Source organism: Homo sapiens, chromosome 15 (assembly GCF_000001405.40).
Source record: "Homo sapiens chromosome 15, GRCh38.p14 Primary Assembly".
Classification (NCBI taxonomy): Eukaryota; Metazoa; Chordata; class Mammalia; order Primates; family Hominidae; genus Homo; species Homo sapiens.
The window spans coordinates 45,442,566-45,460,705 of NC_000015.10; the positions used below are offsets into that span (position 1 = coordinate 45,442,566).

The 18,140-nt window shown below is 47.8% G+C and overlaps 1 protein-coding gene, 1 long non-coding RNA gene and 1 pseudogene across 11 annotated transcripts in view, besides 4 other annotated features; 1 reads left to right on the forward strand and 2 right to left on the reverse strand.

The window, feature by feature from the left end:
* On the reverse strand, positions 3,900-3,959 carry RNU7-5P (RNA, U7 small nuclear 5 pseudogene; annotated as a pseudogene).
* The window catches only part of SLC30A4-AS1 (SLC30A4 antisense RNA 1), a 51,695-nt gene continuing 39,343 nt past the window's right edge, over positions 5,789-18,140 (forward strand). For 2 of the 10 annotated variants that reach the window (XM_047433408.1, XM_047433407.1), the window contains exons 1-2: positions 5,789-6,236; positions 7,543-7,725. In XM_047433408.1, coding sequence (XP_047289364.1) covers positions 6,034-6,236; positions 7,543-7,725 — 386 coding nt within the window. In that variant the 5' untranslated portion in view covers positions 5,789-6,033. The other 8 variants (XR_007064611.1, XR_007064610.1, XR_007064613.1 and 5 more) reach the window with 7 other exon arrangements.
* Positions 6,967-7,897: an enhancer, noted in NCBI's record as "H3K4me1 hESC enhancer chr15:45741730-45742660 (GRCh37/hg19 assembly coordinates)". NCBI's record gives its function as "activates a minimal SCP1, AML or CMV promoter by ChIP-STARR-seq in primed H9 embryonic stem cells {active_cell/tissue: H9 hESC(primed)}" and the evidence as "EXISTENCE:reporter gene assay evidence [ECO:0000049][PMID:30033119]".
* Positions 7,136-13,943, reverse strand: LOC124903483 (uncharacterized). The gene is made up of 4 exons (XR_007064616.1): positions 13,874-13,943; positions 12,452-12,559; positions 11,803-11,895; positions 7,136-7,986 (listed from the first exon to the last, which is right to left on the reverse strand). It is a non-coding gene; the product is annotated as an uncharacterized LOC124903483 (long non-coding RNA).
* Positions 11,803-12,303: an enhancer, noted in NCBI's record as "H3K4me1 hESC enhancer chr15:45746566-45747066 (GRCh37/hg19 assembly coordinates)". NCBI's record gives its function as "activates a minimal SCP1, AML or CMV promoter by ChIP-STARR-seq in naive H9 embryonic stem cells {active_cell/tissue: H9 hESC(naive)}" and the evidence as "EXISTENCE:reporter gene assay evidence [ECO:0000049][PMID:30033119]".
* Positions 14,149-14,198: an enhancer, noted in NCBI's record as "active region_9361". NCBI's record gives its function as "activates an Ori minimal core promoter by ATAC-STARR-seq in GM12878 lymphoblastoid cells {active_cell/tissue: GM12878}" and the evidence as "EXISTENCE:reporter gene assay evidence [ECO:0000049][PMID:35858748]".
* Positions 16,464-17,042: an enhancer, noted in NCBI's record as "NANOG hESC enhancer chr15:45751227-45751805 (GRCh37/hg19 assembly coordinates)". NCBI's record gives its function as "activates a minimal SCP1, AML or CMV promoter by ChIP-STARR-seq in naive H9 embryonic stem cells {active_cell/tissue: H9 hESC(naive)}" and the evidence as "EXISTENCE:reporter gene assay evidence [ECO:0000049][PMID:30033119]".

Here is an 18,140-nt window from a genome sequence, read left to right on the forward strand (position 1 = left end):
GGCCAGTTGGGCCAGGGCAGTGATTCGGTCTACCACTGCAGTGACAATAAATAGGCTTCCCTGGGCTCTGGGGAACAGAGAAGGGCATTGAGTTTACCTAGTGTCTAAGTGATGTAAATTTATCCCCCACAGAGGAAGGGCCTGGCCTGAATGCAAGAGTTACCACAGCAGCAAGACTATCCTGGCAATAAATCCCCTCCAGGGCAAGGCTGCAACCGATTGAGGCAGCAGTGTGCAGTTGACCCCACAGCTAGATTATCACCATATGCTTCACAAACTCCTCCTCCACTGGTGAATGTCAGAGCTAACCCAGAGAGCAGGGAACCCTCCATGCCACCAAATCAAAGCCTCCCAAGCCATACTAGGAATCTGGCTAATTCTCTCCTGAGAACGGCAGTTCTCAAACCTTAGCTGTGAGTCAGAATCCTGGAAGGCATGTTAAGATGTGGGCTGCTGGGCCCTAACTCCAAAGTTGTTGCTTCAGTAGTCAGGGCTGGGATCCAAGTGTTTGGGTTTCGAAAAAGTTCCCAGGTGAAGCTGATGCTCCTGGTCTGGGTACCACAATTTTTTTTATTTATTTTAAAAAATTCTTTAATTTTTTTTTTTTTTTGAGACAGGGTCTTACTCTGTCAGCCAGGCTGGAGTGCAGTGGCCTGATCATAGCTCACTGCAGCCTCGAACTCCTAGGCTCAAGCGATCCTCCCACCTCAGCCTCCTGAGTAGCTGGGACTACAGGCGTGCACCACCATACCCAGCTAATTGTTTTAAAATATTTTTTAGAGATGGGGGTCTCACTATGTTGCCCAGGCTGGTCTTGAACTCTGGGTCTCAATCTATCCTCCAGCCTCAGCCTCCCAAAGTGCTGGGATTACAGGCATGAGCCACTGCACCTGCCTGGGACCACACTTTGAGAAAGTGCTAAACCCTTGGTGCTAAAGCTTTCTACTCCTTATAACATTTGGTGCTTGAGAATTCTCACACAGTCAGTAATATTCTAGGACAGTCCTGACCTATCAGTCATAGTCATGCTATATGGAGGGCAGGATCAAGCCAGACATGGAAGACCCAAGCGTGGGAATGCCTCTCTCAGCTAGGCTGCTCCGGCCACTGTTCAGACACACTAACCCCAGCACCCTAACCTGAGAAGCAGTGGGATTTATCAGGTGTATAGATAGCTGCACGTGCATTTGTGAACACTGTGTGGGTAGCAGAGATGACAGTTCTCACCAGCCATGTCACCATGTCTGGTGATGTTTCTACCAGTGACAATCAATCTCACATGAATTCAGTGACTCAGTGGGCCAGGACCAAGCAGACAGGTTAGCACTTGGATCCAGGCTGTGCCAATCAAAAGCTGTGTGACATGGGCAAATTTCCTTACTTCTCAGAACCTTGCTTTGCAAAGAACTCATTACTTTGCAAGGGTAAACCTGTGGAGTAGGTCAGTATTTGGGAATGTGTTAAGTGAGATATTTCTTGCCTGCATCTTTTCCTTCATTCCTCTTCTCCCCTTTGACTTTAAGCTGGGAGCATTCCTTACTTTGGGGTGAGGGCTGAGGTTTCGAGGACAGTCCTGCTCCAGGTGGAGTTGGTGGACTGGCAGCATCAGCATTACCTGAGAGGGAAGCAAATTCTGGGACCACAGCCCACATCTACTGAATCTCAATCTCAGTCTCTGGGGATGAGGCCAAGAAATCTGTTTTTTTTCGTTTTTTTGTTTTTTGAGATGGAGTCTCACTCTGTCACCCAGGCTGGAGTGCAGTGGTACAATCTTGGCTCACTGCAACCTCCGCCTCCCGGGTTCACGCCATTCTCCTGCCTCAGCCTCCCAAGTAGCTGGGACTATGGGCACCCACCACCACGCCCAGCTAATTTTTTGTCTTTTTAGTAGAGACAGGGTTTCACCATGTTAGCCAGGATGGTCTTGATCTCCTGACCTCGTGATCCGCCCGCCTCGGCCTCCCAAAGTATTGGGATTACAGGCATGAGCCACAGCGCCTGGCCAGAAATCTGTGTTTTGACACATAAACTCCTCAGGTTATTATACACAGGTAAAGACTGAGCAGCTCTGGCCTAGAACAAAAAAAGTTTCAATGTAGAGGCTTCAAAAGCCATAGCTGACAGCATGCTCTGAAAACCAGCATGCATATGTTGTATGCAGTATGTTGAGAAAGGGTTTTTCTCTGGAGGCCAAAGCTTAGGAAACCAAGCACAGAGTTTATGTTATAAGCCATGGTGTCAGGAAGCATTTGTGTTGAAGCCCTCTCTATCCCTAAAGGAAGAACAGTTGGATCAGCGGGAAGCAGAGCAGGACCAGATGGGGTGAGATTAGATCTTGGAGGACTTGCAGGGTACAGCACCCTTCTCAGCCCACCAGACCCTGGCTTGAAAAGGTTTACTGGGTGGGTCAGACTGTCCCCCAAGAGGTGAAGTAAGAGACAGAGTTCCAGCCAGAGGCACACAACTGAAGGAAAGAAAGGGCTGAGAGACCATCACAGGGGCACCTGGCGCCCCAATTTATGGAGGGAGTAGAGATGGAAAGGGAGCCAGTCTGGAGAAAGAACTGCGCAGAAAATCAGAAGGAAGCCGAGGCGGGACAGCACGTGTCCAGGGCTGGCGGGATTATTATTATGAGCCAGGAGCCCTGAAAAGCAGTGAGGGCAGCTTCAGAGGCAACGCGTGAGTGAGTGGGAACAGTCATCGCCCTATCCTGAGTGGTGAGAGACATGTGGTCTATGTGACTCTTCTTGCTGGTCTGAGGGTCATTCCAGGCCTGCCTGTGATAACCTCACCCTGTGCTGATCCTGGGGAAGGTTCTATCTGGGTTTGTCACCTGCAGACCCGTGGCTGTGGAGGAGCTGGCACTGAGGAGGGCAACCCCACAGCGCCCTCCGGCCCAGAAAGGGGCCTGGGAGGCACTTGGCTCCACTGCCCTGAGGGATTGGGCAACCTGGGTGTGTCCCCGCTGTTCCTGGAGAGTTGGCTCATTCCCTCCCTCCTCTCCAAAAACAAACTCAGACGCCCATGGTGAGGTCAGTTTCAGTTGAAGCTGCTTTGCATAAAAAAAAAAAACAAAAACACATCTCCTTCCTCTTGATGGGAATACTTACACCAAAAAGCTTTACGAGCATATGGTTTTGACGGCTGCGAGGTCAGGAGATGGGGGTTTTCCTCTTGCTCTGCAGGACCTTGGGGAAATCACTCACCAGCTAACGTGTGTCAGTGCTCACCGTGCGCCAGCCACCTTTGAATCCTCCACAGCCCTTGAGGCTTTTTCAGTGAATGCCGAGAGGCAGGTGCTTTGCCTGGCTGCCATGGCCCTGTAATCAGCAGAGCTGGGATTTGCGCCTGGGGGTTCAGGATGTAGCCAAGTGTTAGAGCATTTCCGAGATCCTTCCCAGTGCCCAAACTTCCCGCTTCTCTAGTTCTAAGTCACTGGCCATCTGACCGTGGGAGACTATGGCTTAGGCTGGCCACACTTGTTCTAATCTTGGGGTCTAGGATGTCCCAGAGGGCTGCATCCTGCCATGACCATGGGTAAACAGCTTCACTTGTCCCTGAAGCTTCCTTTACAGGGAGAACAGGGCACAACCCCACAGCAGACACAGCAGACGCGTGGGTCTCACCACCAGCCTGTGTTTTTAAGGGCATAGACCTTGTGTTCTCACTTTTGTATAACTGACCCCCTACCCCATGCTACAGAGTACATGGCATGTGGTAGGTCCTCCTTAAATGTTTCTGATTAAGCCCAGTGACAAGTTCTTTTGCAAAGATACATACCACAGTTGAGCTCTGGATACTTACTCATGAGATTTTCAAGTATTCATTTATTCAACGAATATTTATATATGTATGTATGTATGTATTTCATTTTTTAAATTACTTTTCTTGGGGGAGGGGGGCTTTCCAGCAAAAACCAGAAAGCCTGCTGGACAAATTCTAAAAGAGCTGTAACACTTCAGCAAATATTTAAATGAATGCCTACTGTCGGCCAGGCACACACCAGGTGATAAGTGATCCAATGGTGAGCAGAACAGTAGGTCCTCATGGGGTTACAGTCTTGTGGGGGAAGAAATAAACTAATCAGTTTCCCAAATGCACATAAAATGACAGCTATGAGAAGGTGACTGAAGGAAAGGGTCACACGACTGTGGAAGCACAGGCAAGAGGCCTGCCTGGGCTTCAGGGAGGCATCCCTGAGGTGAAGGCTTGCACATTGATCCACCCACCTACCATCCAGTAGGGACCACATTCCAGAGAGACCGACCTTCCTTCCTTCCCTTCCTTCCCGTCCTTCCTGTCCTTCCCGTCCTTCTTGTCCTTCCCATACTTTCTGTCCTTCCCTTCCTTCCCATCCTTCCCTTCCTTCCCTTCCTTCCATTTTTTTTGAGACAGGATCTCACTCTGTCTCCTAGGCTCAAGTGCAGCAGTGAGATCCTAGTTCACTGCAGTTTCGAACTCCTGGGCTCAGGCAATGCTCCTGCCTCAGCCTCCTGGGTAGCTGGGACTACAGGTGTGTGCCACCACGCCCAGATAATTTTTAAAAATTTATAGTAGAGATGAGGTCTCACTATGTTACCCAAGCTGGTCTCGAACTCCTGGCCTCAAGCAGTCTCTGCCCGTCTCTGCCTCCCAAAGTGCTGGGATTACAGATGTGATGTACTGTGCCTGGCCCACAGGAGCTCCTTTTCTAGTAGGCAGGTGGATACTCTATGCAATGATAGAAATTAAATAAATGTCCGTTCAAACTATTTGGAGGCCACACTGCACACCCATTCATTATCAAAAATAAATAAAAATATGAAACCTACCATTGGCAAAGCTATAAGGAAATAGGTACAAATCATATACTGCTAGGAGCACTGCAGCTTAGGCCAACTTTTTTGAGGACAACCTGGCAATAGGTAAGCCAGAGCTTTGGATACTGTACCCTAGGGTTTCACTTTGGGGAGTATTTCTTTTCTTTTCTTTTCCTTTCTTTCTTTCTTTCTTTTTTTTTTCTTTTTGTGAGACGGAGTCTTACTCTGTTGCCCAGGCTGGAGTGCAGTGGTGGGATCTCGGCTCACTGCAACCTCCACCTCCCAGGCTCAAGTGATTCTCATGCCTCAGCCTCCCAAGTAGCTGGGTTTACAAGCGCACGCCACCACGCCCAGCTAATTTTTGTATTTTTAGTAGAGACAGGGTTTCATTATGTTGGCTGGGCTGGTCTTGAACTCCTGACCTCAATTGATCCTCCCACCTCGGCCTCCCAAAGTGCTTGGATTACAGACATGAGCCACCACACCTGGCCAGTTTGAGGAGTGTTTCAAAACAAAATGCAGTGGTATTTATAATAACAAAAAAAAATTTTAAAGGAAATAAGACCTGATACAGGGGAACACTATATTAATATATGAAAAACAATAATATATAAATACATGGATTGCAGCAGGCACTGACAGGTTGTCATTGTTTTTGCGCCTTCCTGGTGTTCATGAACATCACCTCCTTGGATGTTCATGTCACTTCTATGAGGAACAGGAAGCTCTGGGCACCCAGCTGGTGAGAGCAAGAGTCCTGTGTGCCCCACATGACACCAAGCTGCCAACTTCCATCTTACCGAACCCCAGGCTGTCTGCTCCTGAGGGGGCTCTGGGGCATGGTGACATTCCCCAGTGGGCGAGGAAGCTGAGGTCACTGTCTGCTTTCAACACTTGTCCCTGAGTCACTGCCTGGGCCTGAGTAGGGGAAATCCAGCCCCTGCCCATTGCAGCCACACGGCCTGGCTCCCCTGGCTCTGGGGGATGTCACCATTCTGAGGGCGTCCAGCAGTGTGATGGTGAAGCCAGGTGCCCTCTCCTGACAGCCACCCTTGCCCCACAGAGCCTGCCTGCTGGGATGTAGAGGAGGGGGGTTCCAGCCCCTCCTGTCCCGCGTCAGGTCTGTAGCACACAAGCTGCCTGCCCAGGGTCCTCAAATCAGCTGTCTTCACTCTGACCTGCAGGTCTCGGCTCCTGCATACTGCAAGCTGGGTGCCTTCCTTCTACAGAACCCATGCCCCCTTGCAAGGAAACCATGGAATTTCCCCAGGAGTCTTCGACAACTCCAGGCCACAGGAAGGTCACAAATGGTCAGAAAAGGAATGAATTTGAAGGAGGAAGAACCAGCCCTGCCCACGTTGTCTGGGGCCCCTCCCAAGGGGACAGGAAAGCTCCACAAACAGGACCTGGAACATCCAGGGAGCGTCTGGGCTGCAGGTAGGTGTCGCCTTATACACTTTACACCAGGCCCCTCCCCACCTCCCCATTTAGAGCCTCCAGGACCAATCGTATCAGAATCTCCGGGGCAGGACCTGGGGGCATCCATGCTTTTTAAAGCCTTCCAGGTGTTTGCAGTGTGCAGATAAGGTTCAGGGCCACTAATTTAAACCCTAAAAGTCTTATACCAGATCTTTCTATAGTTTGGGGTGTGCTACTTTCCTGTCTGTGGAAATCCTGCTTGTCCTACAGGGCTCATCTCAGCCGCCCCTTCTTAGGTGAAGCCTTCCTTGACTTCCCAGTTTCCTGAGGCAAAGTTAATTGCTTCCCCACCATCATTAATTCTGGTGGGGTCCAGGCCGTGCCTGGGTGCAAATCCTGCCTCCATGACTTCCTAGTTGTACCGTGGCCACATCTCTCCACTTCTGCAAGCCTCAATCTTTTTATCTGTAAAATGAGGCTAACAATAAAAGTACCTATTTTATGGGGTTAATGTTCAGTTAAATGCAATAATCTGCTTATAACAGTGGTGGTCAGTAAATGCTAGCCATTTCTTATAACTCAAATTCTTTTCTGCCTTTTCTGCACTTTCAAAATGCAAACTCCTTGAAAGTGGAACGAGTCCACCCCAGCCTCATGCTCCCCGTACTCTGTCTACACTGTGCTCTGCACGTAGCAGTATTCAATAACTATTTGATGAACAAATGAATCAGAAGGGAATCCTTATGTGACATTAGAACTTGCTTCCCAGTTTAGCTCTGGCATAAATCCAGAGTCCATATATTGATTTGTTGAGCAATGTTTTCCTTTATTGAGTTCTTACTATATACTAGGCTCTGAGAATTTAAAGATAAACACACAATTGCTGTCATTGAGGAGAGTCTGGAGGAGGACACAGATTCATGATTTTGTTATTTTATTATGCTTGTAACATTGTCTCAGAAGTGCCACCGGGGCACAAAGGAAAAAGAGGGGAAGGGGAGGGAGGAGGGAAGTGTTAGTGCAGAAGATACAAAGAGAAGGAGCTTGCCGGGTGGAGAGGCAGGGAAGGGCATTGGAGCTGAAGGAACAGCACCTGCTAGGCCAGAAAGGCCCAAGAGGGCGAGCTGCAATCCGAGGATGGTGTGGTACACCAGGAAAGCCGTAGGGGGATGGAACTGGCCAGGCAGACTGTGGCTGGAATGGGAGAGGCTCGAGGGCTGGACTAAGTGGCTGGGACTTCATCCAGCCAGCCAAGGAGGGTCTGGTCATGTTTGTGAGCCGAGAAGGTAAACAGAGCGCACCTGGGCTGGTTTCCTTCTCTCAGGCCTTCCTGGCGGCCACGCCTTACCGAAAGGAGTCCTGACTCAGAGCTGCTGTGCCGTCCCTTCTCCTGTCCCTGCCTGGAAGAGGCCTATCAGGTTGACCAAGCTTTGCTCCCACCTGTGGATGAGAAGGGCAGGTGGCCGAGAGTGGGTGTGGAGGAGGAAGACTGGATGCCAATGATCCTGTGAGTTTCATTCATTGGAGGTGTAACTTTCAGGCTCAAACTAGAGGCAAAAGATGAGGCAGTCCATGGGAAACAGGGGAGCAGGCGTAGCAGAGGGGCTCCGGCTGACGACAGGCAGGGGACTTGCTTCTTCTGTTTGTTTGTTAGAAATCATGACTCTGCCATTATCTGCTGTGACATCTTGGGTACTTAATCCCTCACTCGAGACCTCAGTGTCGTCTTCTGTAAACTGAATGGAGTGGTCCAGGTGATCTTTCAACTCTGTAATTCCAAGGAAGAAGGCAGTTCAGGGAGCGGTGTGGATTTTATAGATAAGGGGCCGAAGGTGGGGACTCCCAGACAGGACAAAGTCTCTTCTGGAGGGAGCAGCAGCCTTTTCAGAGTGGGTGGGTGGCGGAGCTCACCTTCCTTTGCTGCTCCTAAGCCTGACACAGCCTCAAACCCCAGCAGGTACTGAGGAGGTGGGGGAGTGGAGCTCCTCTGCTGACCCAGCAGAGAGGAGCGGAGCAGCCTCAGCGAGGCGGCCCTGGGAAAAGTGCTAGGGTACAGCTGCCCTAGGCCCCTCTGATCCCGATCCCAGCTGCTCTTCTCCTCCCAGCACTGTATAGCCCACAGGAGCTAAATCCAGGGGCAGACCCCAGGCTTCTGCCGAAGGGTAGAGGGTGGCAGTGGGAGGTCAGTCAGGCTTCTGGGCCAAGAGCCCAGAGAAGAGCTGGTGGCCATAGCACAGGCTCTGTGAGGCTGGGCAGCCGGCTCACCTCCCCTCAGCCCCCACCCACCTCCTGCTGGCCTGAGGCATCCTGGAGACCCCTCAATCCCAACATCTTAGTCACAGTCCCTGAAAGTCCTCGGGTTCACAAGCATTCTATTTTAAGTAATGGTTCTCTCTACTTTTATTAGCACCCAGCACTAACCTTTTGTGAAGATATAAAATCAAAGTAAAAAATTCTATAATTATTATTTTTTAAAGCAAACACTCACACATGGATTAAGAGGACCTGTTCACCATTCGTGCGGCAAACATTTACTGAGCATCTACTATGCCAAGCCCTGTGCTGGGCTCAGGAGGACCCAGGGTGGGAGCAGAATCCCATGGAACCGCCTAGGAGGTTCAGGAAAGACTCCTTTAGAGAGGAGAACCTTGAGCTGAGACCAGGAGGGTTGGAGAACTTGGCCAACTGAAGGAGAGAGGCCAGCCTGAGCCAGGGCCAGGAGGCAGGGACTATGAGTAGTTTATTGTGGCTGAAGCAGGGAGTTGACAGGAAAATGTTCCTTTTCCTGCACTCACACAATCGTAATGATCTGTGTCGCTATTTGTTTAGTGTCTGTATCCCCTGTTAGACCACAAGCTCCACGAGGGGTACAGTGTGTATGTATACTGCTGCATCCTGGTACCCAGAACGATGCCTAGCACAGGGGTTCCCAACCCCCAGGCCAAGGATCAGTACCAGTCATGGCCTGTTAGGAACCAGGAGCACAGCAGGAGGTGAGCCGCGGGCAAGCTGGCATTACTGCCTGAGCTCTGCCTCCTGTCAGATCAGCAGTGTGGCATTAGATTCCCCTAGGAGCTTGAACCCTACTGTGAACTGTGCATGGGAGGGATCTAGGTTGCACACTCCTTATGACAATCTAATGCCTGATGATCTGAGGTGGAACAGTTTCATGCTGAAACCATCCTGCCCCATCAGTGGAAAAATTGTCTTCCATGAAACTGGTCCCTGGTGCCAAAAAGTTCAGGAACCACTGGCCTAGCACATAGCAAATGTTCACTTAAATTGGTGTCACAGGAACAAGTAAAAGAAATAATTCTCATGTTAATTTGGGTTAGATCAGAAAGGGCTGTGAAGCCATGCTAATGAGTTTGGATGGTATCCCAGGGCCAACAGGAGCTACTGAAGGTTTTTTTTTTTTTTTTTTAATTATTTAGAATTTTGGCTGGGTGCGGTGGCTCATGCCTATAATCCCAGCACTTTGGGAGGCTGAGGTGGGCGGATCACTTGACGTCAGGAGTTTGAAACCAGCCTGGCCAACATGGTGAAACCCCGTCTCTACTAAAAGTACAAAAATTGGCCAGCCATGGCCTATAATCCCAGCTAGTGGGGAGGCTGAGACACAAGAATCACTTGAACCTGGGACCTGCCCTGATAATCACGTAGGTTCTTTTCTATTTTTCCTAAGTGTCAGCTGGCTTGAGAAATAAAGGGACAGGATACAAAAGAGAGAAATTTTAAAGCTGGGTGTCCAGGGAAGACATCACACATTGGTAGGATCTGTGATGCCCCACAAGCCACAAAAACCAGCAAGTTTTTATTAGAGATTTTTCAAAATGGGAGGGAGTGTGTGAATAGGTGTGGGTGACAGACATCAAGTACTTAACAGGGTAATAGAATATCACAAGGCAAGTGGAGGCAGGGTGAGATCACAGGACCACAGAGGCGAAATTAAAATTGCTAATGAAGTTTCGGGCACCATTGTCATTGATAACATCTTATCAGGAGACAGGGTTTTGAGATCAACCGGTCTGACCAAAATTTATTAGACGGGAATTTCCTCTTCCTAATAAGCCTGGGAGTGCTATGGGAGACTGGAGTTTATTTCATCTCTGCAGACTCAACCATAAGAGACAACCACGCCCGTGGGGGAGGGGGGGGCGGGGGCCAGTTTAGAGACCCACCCCCAGGTGCGCATTCTCTTTCTCAGGGACGTTCCATGCTGAGAAAAAGAATTCAGCGATATTTCTCCTATTTGCTTTTGAAAGAAGAGAAATATGGCTCTGTTCCGTTTGGCTCACTGGTGGTCAGAGTTTAAGGTTATGTCTCTTATTCCCTGAACAATTACTGTTATCCTGTTCTTTTTTCAAGGTGCTGAGATTTCATATTGCTCAAACACACATGCTGTACAATTTGTGCAGTTAATGCAATTATCACATGGTCCTGAGGCGACATACATCCTCCTTGGCTGACAGGATTAAGAGATTAAAGTAAAGACAGGCATAGGAAATCACAAGGGTATTGATTAGGGAAGTAATAAGTGTCCATGAAATCTTTATAATTTATGTTTAGGGATTGCAGTAAAGACAGGCATAAGAAATTATAAAAGTATTAATTTGGGGAACTAATAAATGTCCATAAAATCTTCACAATCCACGTTCTTCTGTCATGGCTTCAGCTGGTCCCTCCATTTAGGGTCCCTGACTTCCCGCAACACTGAGACACAAGAATCACTTGAACCCAGGGGGCAGATGTTGCAGTGAGCTGAGATCGTGCCACTGCACTCCAGCCTGGGCAACAGAGTGAAACTCTGTCTCAAAAAAAAAATAATAATAATAAAATGATTTTATTTTTGTTTTTATCGAGATAGAGTCTCACTCTGTTGCCCAGGCTGGTCTCGAAATCCTGAGTTCAAGCAATCCACCCACCTGAGCCTCCCAAAGTGCTGGGATTACAGGCATGAGCCACCACGCCCGGCCCACTGAAGGTTTTAAATAGGGGAATGACACATTCATTTTTGCCCTTTATGAATCCCTTTTTGGCTTTGGTGTGGAGAACGGCCGGGATCAGAGAGTTCACTTGAGACCTAAAGTCAGTGGTGTCTCTGGAGATGAGGGGGCAGCACAGATTTGAGAGTTTAAGGAGACTTGATCCAGGGGTGCAGGGAGTGACTGGATGCAAGGAGTGAGGGAGATAGAGGTGGCCAGGAGGACGCCAGGCTTCTAGACCTGGCAGGTTTCCCACCGTGGCCCCTAGGATGGTGTACACGTCCACATTGTCATCCTTACCTCAGGGCATTGTTATGGTTGATCGTCTGTTTATGGGACTCTCCCCAGCAAGTGGGCCAGGACGGGCTCTGTTCACCTTTGCAGCTCTCATGCCTAGCACGTGAGAGTAACTGCTCAGCTACTCTGAGCATAGTAACTGCTCAGTTAGTGTTTAGTGGATGAAATTCTGGTTGGAATTTGTGTATACAACTTTGTTTTCAGAAGGGTGAGAGAAATTACTGTTTAGTAAATGCAATGTCATAGACATAGTGCACCCAAAAGAAAAAAATCATTTCATGACCAGGTGTGGTGGCTCATACCTGTAATCCCAGCAATCTGGGAGGCCAAGGCAGGAGTATCACTTGAAGCCAAGAGTTTGAGAATATCCTGGGCAACATAGTAAGATCCCATCTCTACAAAAAAACAAAAATATAAAGTCATTTCCATTTGTGAGCTGTGTTCAGAGGCCTGGGAGCTGGGTTGAGGCAGGGAGGGATGTGGGGAGCCCAGGGTGTGGAGGAGGCAGCGGGGCTCCCTGGGCCGTGAAGGTCGCTGAACAAAGGAGACCGTCCAGGTTTGGCCACTGGTGCTTGCTGCTGTCCCCGAAATGAGATCGGAGGGGAGGGGCAGGTTTGGAGGAGAGGTGACAAGTCTGAGTGCCCATGGGACATCCAGCTTGATATATAAACCAGAAGGTGCTGGAAGCCTTAGGTGTGAGTGAGAAGACACAGAGATGTGGAGAGGAGGGCTGGGGGTGACCTGGAGAAACAACTGTTAAGGAGGGGGCAGAGAATCAAGTGGCCAGGAAGTTTGGGGACACGTTGGGAGGGCCACCTCAGGCCCGGGAGTCCTGTTGCCTCTTCTCCTGTGCTGTTACCCAGCAGGGGGACCAGGGGCCTGGGAGAGGCGCCAGCACTTTACTAACAGCCCAGCGCCTTGGGGTTTCGTTTCTGCTGGGTTCTGGCTCACCTTCCTCTTGTGGTCAGAAGAATGCAGAATCCTGTGGTTTCCCCGCTGTGTCGTCACAAGGCCTGCTGCCAGCCTGCCGCACTTTTCCTCAGCTCCATCACTGAACTTCTTTCATTTTTGCAGATGAACCTTGTCACCCTCCTCATAACCCAGGTTTCCCCTGCCTCCTCCCCACCCCCAGATCAGTCCTCCCACCCTGTAAGTGAGCCAGGCTCTTCCCAGCTGTGCCCTGGGTGGGCTCAAGGGTGTTTCCTGGGCATGGTACCACCTCTCCCTCCCATTGCCTCCCTGCTCCTGCTTCCCTCCCCTCTGGTCTGGCTGAGAAAAAGGTCCAGAGTTGGCAGAGCAGGTGGAAAGCCGGGGGCTGGCTGTCCCAGCTGCTGCACATTCAGGTTCTGGGATCTGTGGGCCAGGTGCAGTGCTGTGCTGCTAAATGGATAACAACAGGCTCTGGGGGCAAGCAGTGCAGCATTAGCTGATTTCTATGACACAAATACTCCCACCACGGGCAATTTCAGGCTACTACCAAGATGTTACTGAAGGCAGAATGGGAAGAGGTGTGCAGCAGCACCTGCCGTACGATAGTTCCACCCTACACCCAATAGACACGAGTAGCCTCAAGCGTATCTATAACTGCAAAACATACTAGAAGAATTAGGAAGTGATATGTTTTCAGTATTCATTGCTTTTTAAATAATTTATTTTCAGCCGGGCATGGTGGCTCACGCCTGTAATCCCAGCACTTTGGGAGGCTGAGGCAGGAGGATCACCTGAGCTCAAGAGTTTAAGACCAGCCTGGGCAACATGGTGAAATCCCGTCTCTACTAAAAATTAAAAAATTAGACGGGTGTGTGGCATGCACCTATAATCTCAGCTACTCGGGAGGCTGAGGTTGGAGGATCGCTTGGGCCCGGGAGGCGGATGTTGTAGTGAGCCAAGATTGTGCCACTGCACTCCAGCCTGGGCGACAGAGCAAGACTGTCCCAAAAACAAAAACAAAAACAAAACTTATTTTCTCATGAGTTGTTATAATTTAATTTTTAAAATGATGACAATTTAATAACTGCTTTGCAAAATTTCTGAAAATTCCACAATTAGCTCTTGCAAGCAGTACAAACTCAATCCAGCAAACCATTAGCACCAGGAAGAAAGGAAGAGGCACCAAACCCCAGACTCCAAGAGATGCATTCACAGGGCTGTGTACCCTCTCCCAGCATCCATCTGTCACCCTCCCTCTGTCTGGACACCATCAGTCTGGGCAGCAGGTTGTGGGCAGCAGGCCTCAGAATCCCTGTGTGGGGTCAGCCCCAGTGAGAGCAGAGCCTGGCCCCAGGCAGCCCCTCCCACTCAGCAGACCCGCTCTTTCGCGGCCTGGACCTGGGGACCTGGTGCGGGCCCAGAACCCAGCCCCCGGACACCTACCCTGGCAGGCCTAGAGCAAGGAAGTTTCATGGCGCAATGTTCTTCCCCTTGAAGGTGTGAAGCCCTGTGAGGGCTGGAATTTCCACATTGCTCAGATAGTGGGCTTGCTCAGTCCTCCGCAGTGAAGAAAACAAAAGAGAACAAGTGGCCACGGCCTCTTTCTAGGCATCTCTTTATTCCTCTGGGCTGCAAGGGGCCTGCATTGGGTCTGAACAGAGGTGAAACAGAGGAAAGCTTTGAGGGTGCAACTCAGCCTGGAGCCATTTCTGGACAGTGAGAATGAACAGCAGTGATGACGTCATTCACCACATTCCACATGCGCTCGTCTTTGCACTAGGCCTTGGAGGCATGAGGGTGGTGACTCATAGCGGTAAAAACCCTGTCTTGGCTACCTCAGGAAATGAGTGGAATCTGTGGCTTGACGTTCCTGTATTCTTGCTGATGAACCACTCACGATGTCCACGTAGTGGCTCCTGCCAGGCGCTTGTGAAAGTTGGAGAAAAGAGGTCGCCTTCCCACCATGCCCACAGTGTGCCTCGGCCCCTTGTTCATGGCCCTCGGCAGCAGATGCCTTTCCTTTCTCTCATGCGCACAGGCCAGGCCAGCCCAGCCCACCAAGCCCCCTCCCGAGCCCCCTCTTGGAGGAGCCTCCTCTACACGTAGGGCTCTCCCTGGGGGTCTTCCTTTGAGTGTGGGGTTTATGTGCACTGATTTCTAAGATCAAAAGGCTAAGACCTTGCCATCCATTCATTCATTCAGCAAGGGGGGCGGGGGTGCTGGGAGGAAGCAGGAGGACAGAAGTTTTAAGCAGTCACAAAATATAATGAATGAAAACAAAACCAAAAAGAGGACTAAGGGAAGGGAGGTGGAAAAATACCAAACCCCTGTTCTACCCTCTTCTGAGACCCTTCGCTGGCAGGTGCCCTTGTAAACAGTGAAACAGCCGTCCCAGGGCCTGCGAGGTAGTGCCACTGTCTTAATCGGTCCGCAGGTTACTTCTCAGAGGGTGTTTCCATGGATTCTACTGGGTCCTCACCTGTTTCTGGGCAACCTCACCCCAGCTTCCTGCCTTGTGATAAAGATCTTTTTATTTCTTTATTTTGAGCAGTCACTTTCCCCTAAAAGATTAATATGTTGTTCTCACCAAGAGGCCCAGCTCTAGCTATATACTACCTGTTTGTAGTGGTTGAAAGTTTAATATCTCTTTAGCATCCCTTACAAAATATTTTGGGAGGTTTAGTTTAAATTCAGGCACAGCCTGTGGAAGGCTCAGACGCAAGGCTAGGGCGCCATCTCCTGGTCGATTTTGAATATGACAAAATTGAACTTGGATTGAGACTCGTGTTAATAGAGGTGAAAATCAGCTGATTTAAGTTATAGGTGGAAAGGCGTGCGCAGAAACACATGTAACTAATAAAGCACTTTGTCAGAATCTATAAAGAACTCTTACAATTTAATATAAAAAATCTTAGCGATTGGGCTGTTAAAAAATCAGTAGAAAAATAAGCAAGAGGCTTAAAGGGGCAATTTCTAAAAGAGGATATCAAATGCACCATAAATATATGAAAGATGTTCAACTTTTTATTCTTCGAGACTACTGGTGGAGGACAAGGCGGAGGAAAGCCCAGGAAGCCTGTATACGCTGTAAAGACCCTTTCAGGTAATTCAGATTTTACCCACTAGAGGGCGTGCCACTCACTTTAGTTGTTTTAAATTTGCCCAAGGGAAATATGCAAAATAAAACCGCAATGAGATGCACTGCACTGCAGCCTGCCAAGTTGGCAAAAATGGGGGCAGCGGGTACTCTCATACACTGCTGGAGAAAGTGCAAATTGCTATACCTTTGAAAAATTGTTTGGCATTATCTAGAAAACAGTTAACGCATAGGCGTATTCTATGTCATAGCAACTTCACTTCTTGATATATGTTCAACAAAAATGTGAGTCCATGGACACTAAGAAGCATACAAGATTGCTTATAACAGCATTATTGGCAGGTAATAGCAAGAACTGGAAACAATTCAAATGCCCACGAAGAATAGGCTGGAAAAATAAATGGTAGTATATTGATGCAGTGGAATATCTAACGGAAAAACAGACAAGCCAACAGAATCTGCAGCTACAAACGGCAACAATATGGATGGATGGATTTTATGAACATAATGTTGAGCAAACGAAGCCAGGTATAAAATAATCATAATCATATATAAAGGTCAAAACAGAAAAAACATTTTATAGTGCTAGATGTCAGGATAATGGTACATTTAGTCCTAGAGAATGAAGGCAGAGATTGGGAATATATTTAAAATAAATTTTAAAAATAAATTTAACACTTCAATTATAAAGTTTAAAAAAGTTACAGATGGAATGGTAGAAAGGGATTTCCAACCAGTAGAATTAGGCAAGAGTGAGGGAAGAAATCGAAAACTTGGGAAAGAAGAAAAGCAGGTGTAGGGTGCAAAAAACGAAACCAAAAAAACAAACCCCAAAACACCTCCAGGTAATTCGGATTCTCCCCACTAGAGGGCGTGCCTCCCTCTCCTCGCCCTGAGTGTTCTTGCCGTACGCAAACATTTGCTTCGATGTTGTTTTTTCCCTCCCTTGAATTATTAGGTTAGTACAAAAGTAATTGGGTTTTTGCAATTATTTTTAATTTAATATATCCGTGGGAAAAATCTTCATAAGAGGAATAATTTGGCCAAAGGATATAACTATTTTAATGCCCTATTTTAAGAATGTTGCTAGATTGTTCTTCAGAAAGACTGCACAAATTAAATTGATAGCCACCCAACAACGCGTCAAAATGCGTTCCTAAGTCATTCAATGGTAGACTTTCAAAATGGTAGGTTTTAAAGAGCTTGTTGATTGAACATTTGCAAAACAGTAGTACCAAAGTGGATTAATTTACATTTCTTTAGTTATTAGTGAAACAAAACATTTTCCTTTAAAATGCTTGACAATGATTTCCTCTTATGCACACTGCCTGGTCAAGGTGGCCTTTGCCTATTCAGACAATTAGGTTAAATGCAAAAGTAACTGCGGTCTTTGCCATTACTGTTAATTACATAATTACTACTAATGCCAAAACCACAACTACTTTTGCACCAGCCGAATATGTTCTCTTTATGTAACTATATTTGATCTCTATATATTAGTAAATTTTTTAATCTGTCAAGGTTGTCACAGTTTCTTCCATTCTAATGGTTACTTTTTTTTGTTTCTTTTTTTTTTTTTTTTGAGCTGGAGTCTCGCTTTGTTGCCCAGGCCTTGTAAGTGCAGTGGCACAATCTCAGCTCACGGCAACCTCCAGCTCCTGGGTTCAAGCAATTCTCGTGCTTCAGTTTAAAGAGTAACTGGGAGTACAGGCGCCTGCCACCATGCCTGGCTAATTTTTGTATTTTTAGTAGAAATGGGGTTTCACCATGTTGACCAGACTGGTCTCGAACTTCTGACCTCAAATGATCCACCTGCCTCAGCCTCCCAAAATGCTGGGATTACAGGTGTGAGTTGTCACACCCGGCCTATTTTTTAATCTTAATTTTTATTATTTTCTTTTGAAATATACTTGAATGTTCTTGTGGTTACGCTTTTCCATTTTTAACTCTAACATTTTTTTTCTATTACCCATAGTATTACATATATTTCTTTCCAAGTTGTGATAAGTTTGTTTTCTTCTGAAGAGTGTTTTCCAAACTGATTTTCTCTTATTTCTTTGGGTGTGAAAACTTTTCTGAAGGAGTTCCATGGTCAAATAAATTGGGAAAATATTTAGACAAAAATAAATCCCTTCCTTTATTACAGCAATTATAAAACCTTAACGATGGTAATTTATTCATTGAAGAAAATATTTATTGAGCATCTACTATGAGGTACTAGGGGCTTGTACAGCTCTGAACAAAAGAGACAAATGCATGCAGTGTATTTCCAAGACAGGGATATCATATACAGATTTTTTTCCAATGTATTTGAGCAAAACTTTTTAATTTTTATTTATTTACATATTTTTAGAGACACAGACTCACTCTGTCACCCAGGCTGGAGTGCAGTGGTGCAGTTATAGCTCACTATAGCCTCGACCTCCTGGACTCAAGTGATCCTCCCACCTCAGTCTCCCGAGTAGTCAGGACTACAGGTATGGCAGGCTAAGTTTTAAAAATTTTGTAGAGATGGGATCTCACTATGTTGCCTAGGCTGGTCTCCAAATCCTGGCCTCAAGCAGTCCTCCCTCCATGGCCTCCTAAAGTGCTCGGAGTAGAATTGAGAGCCAC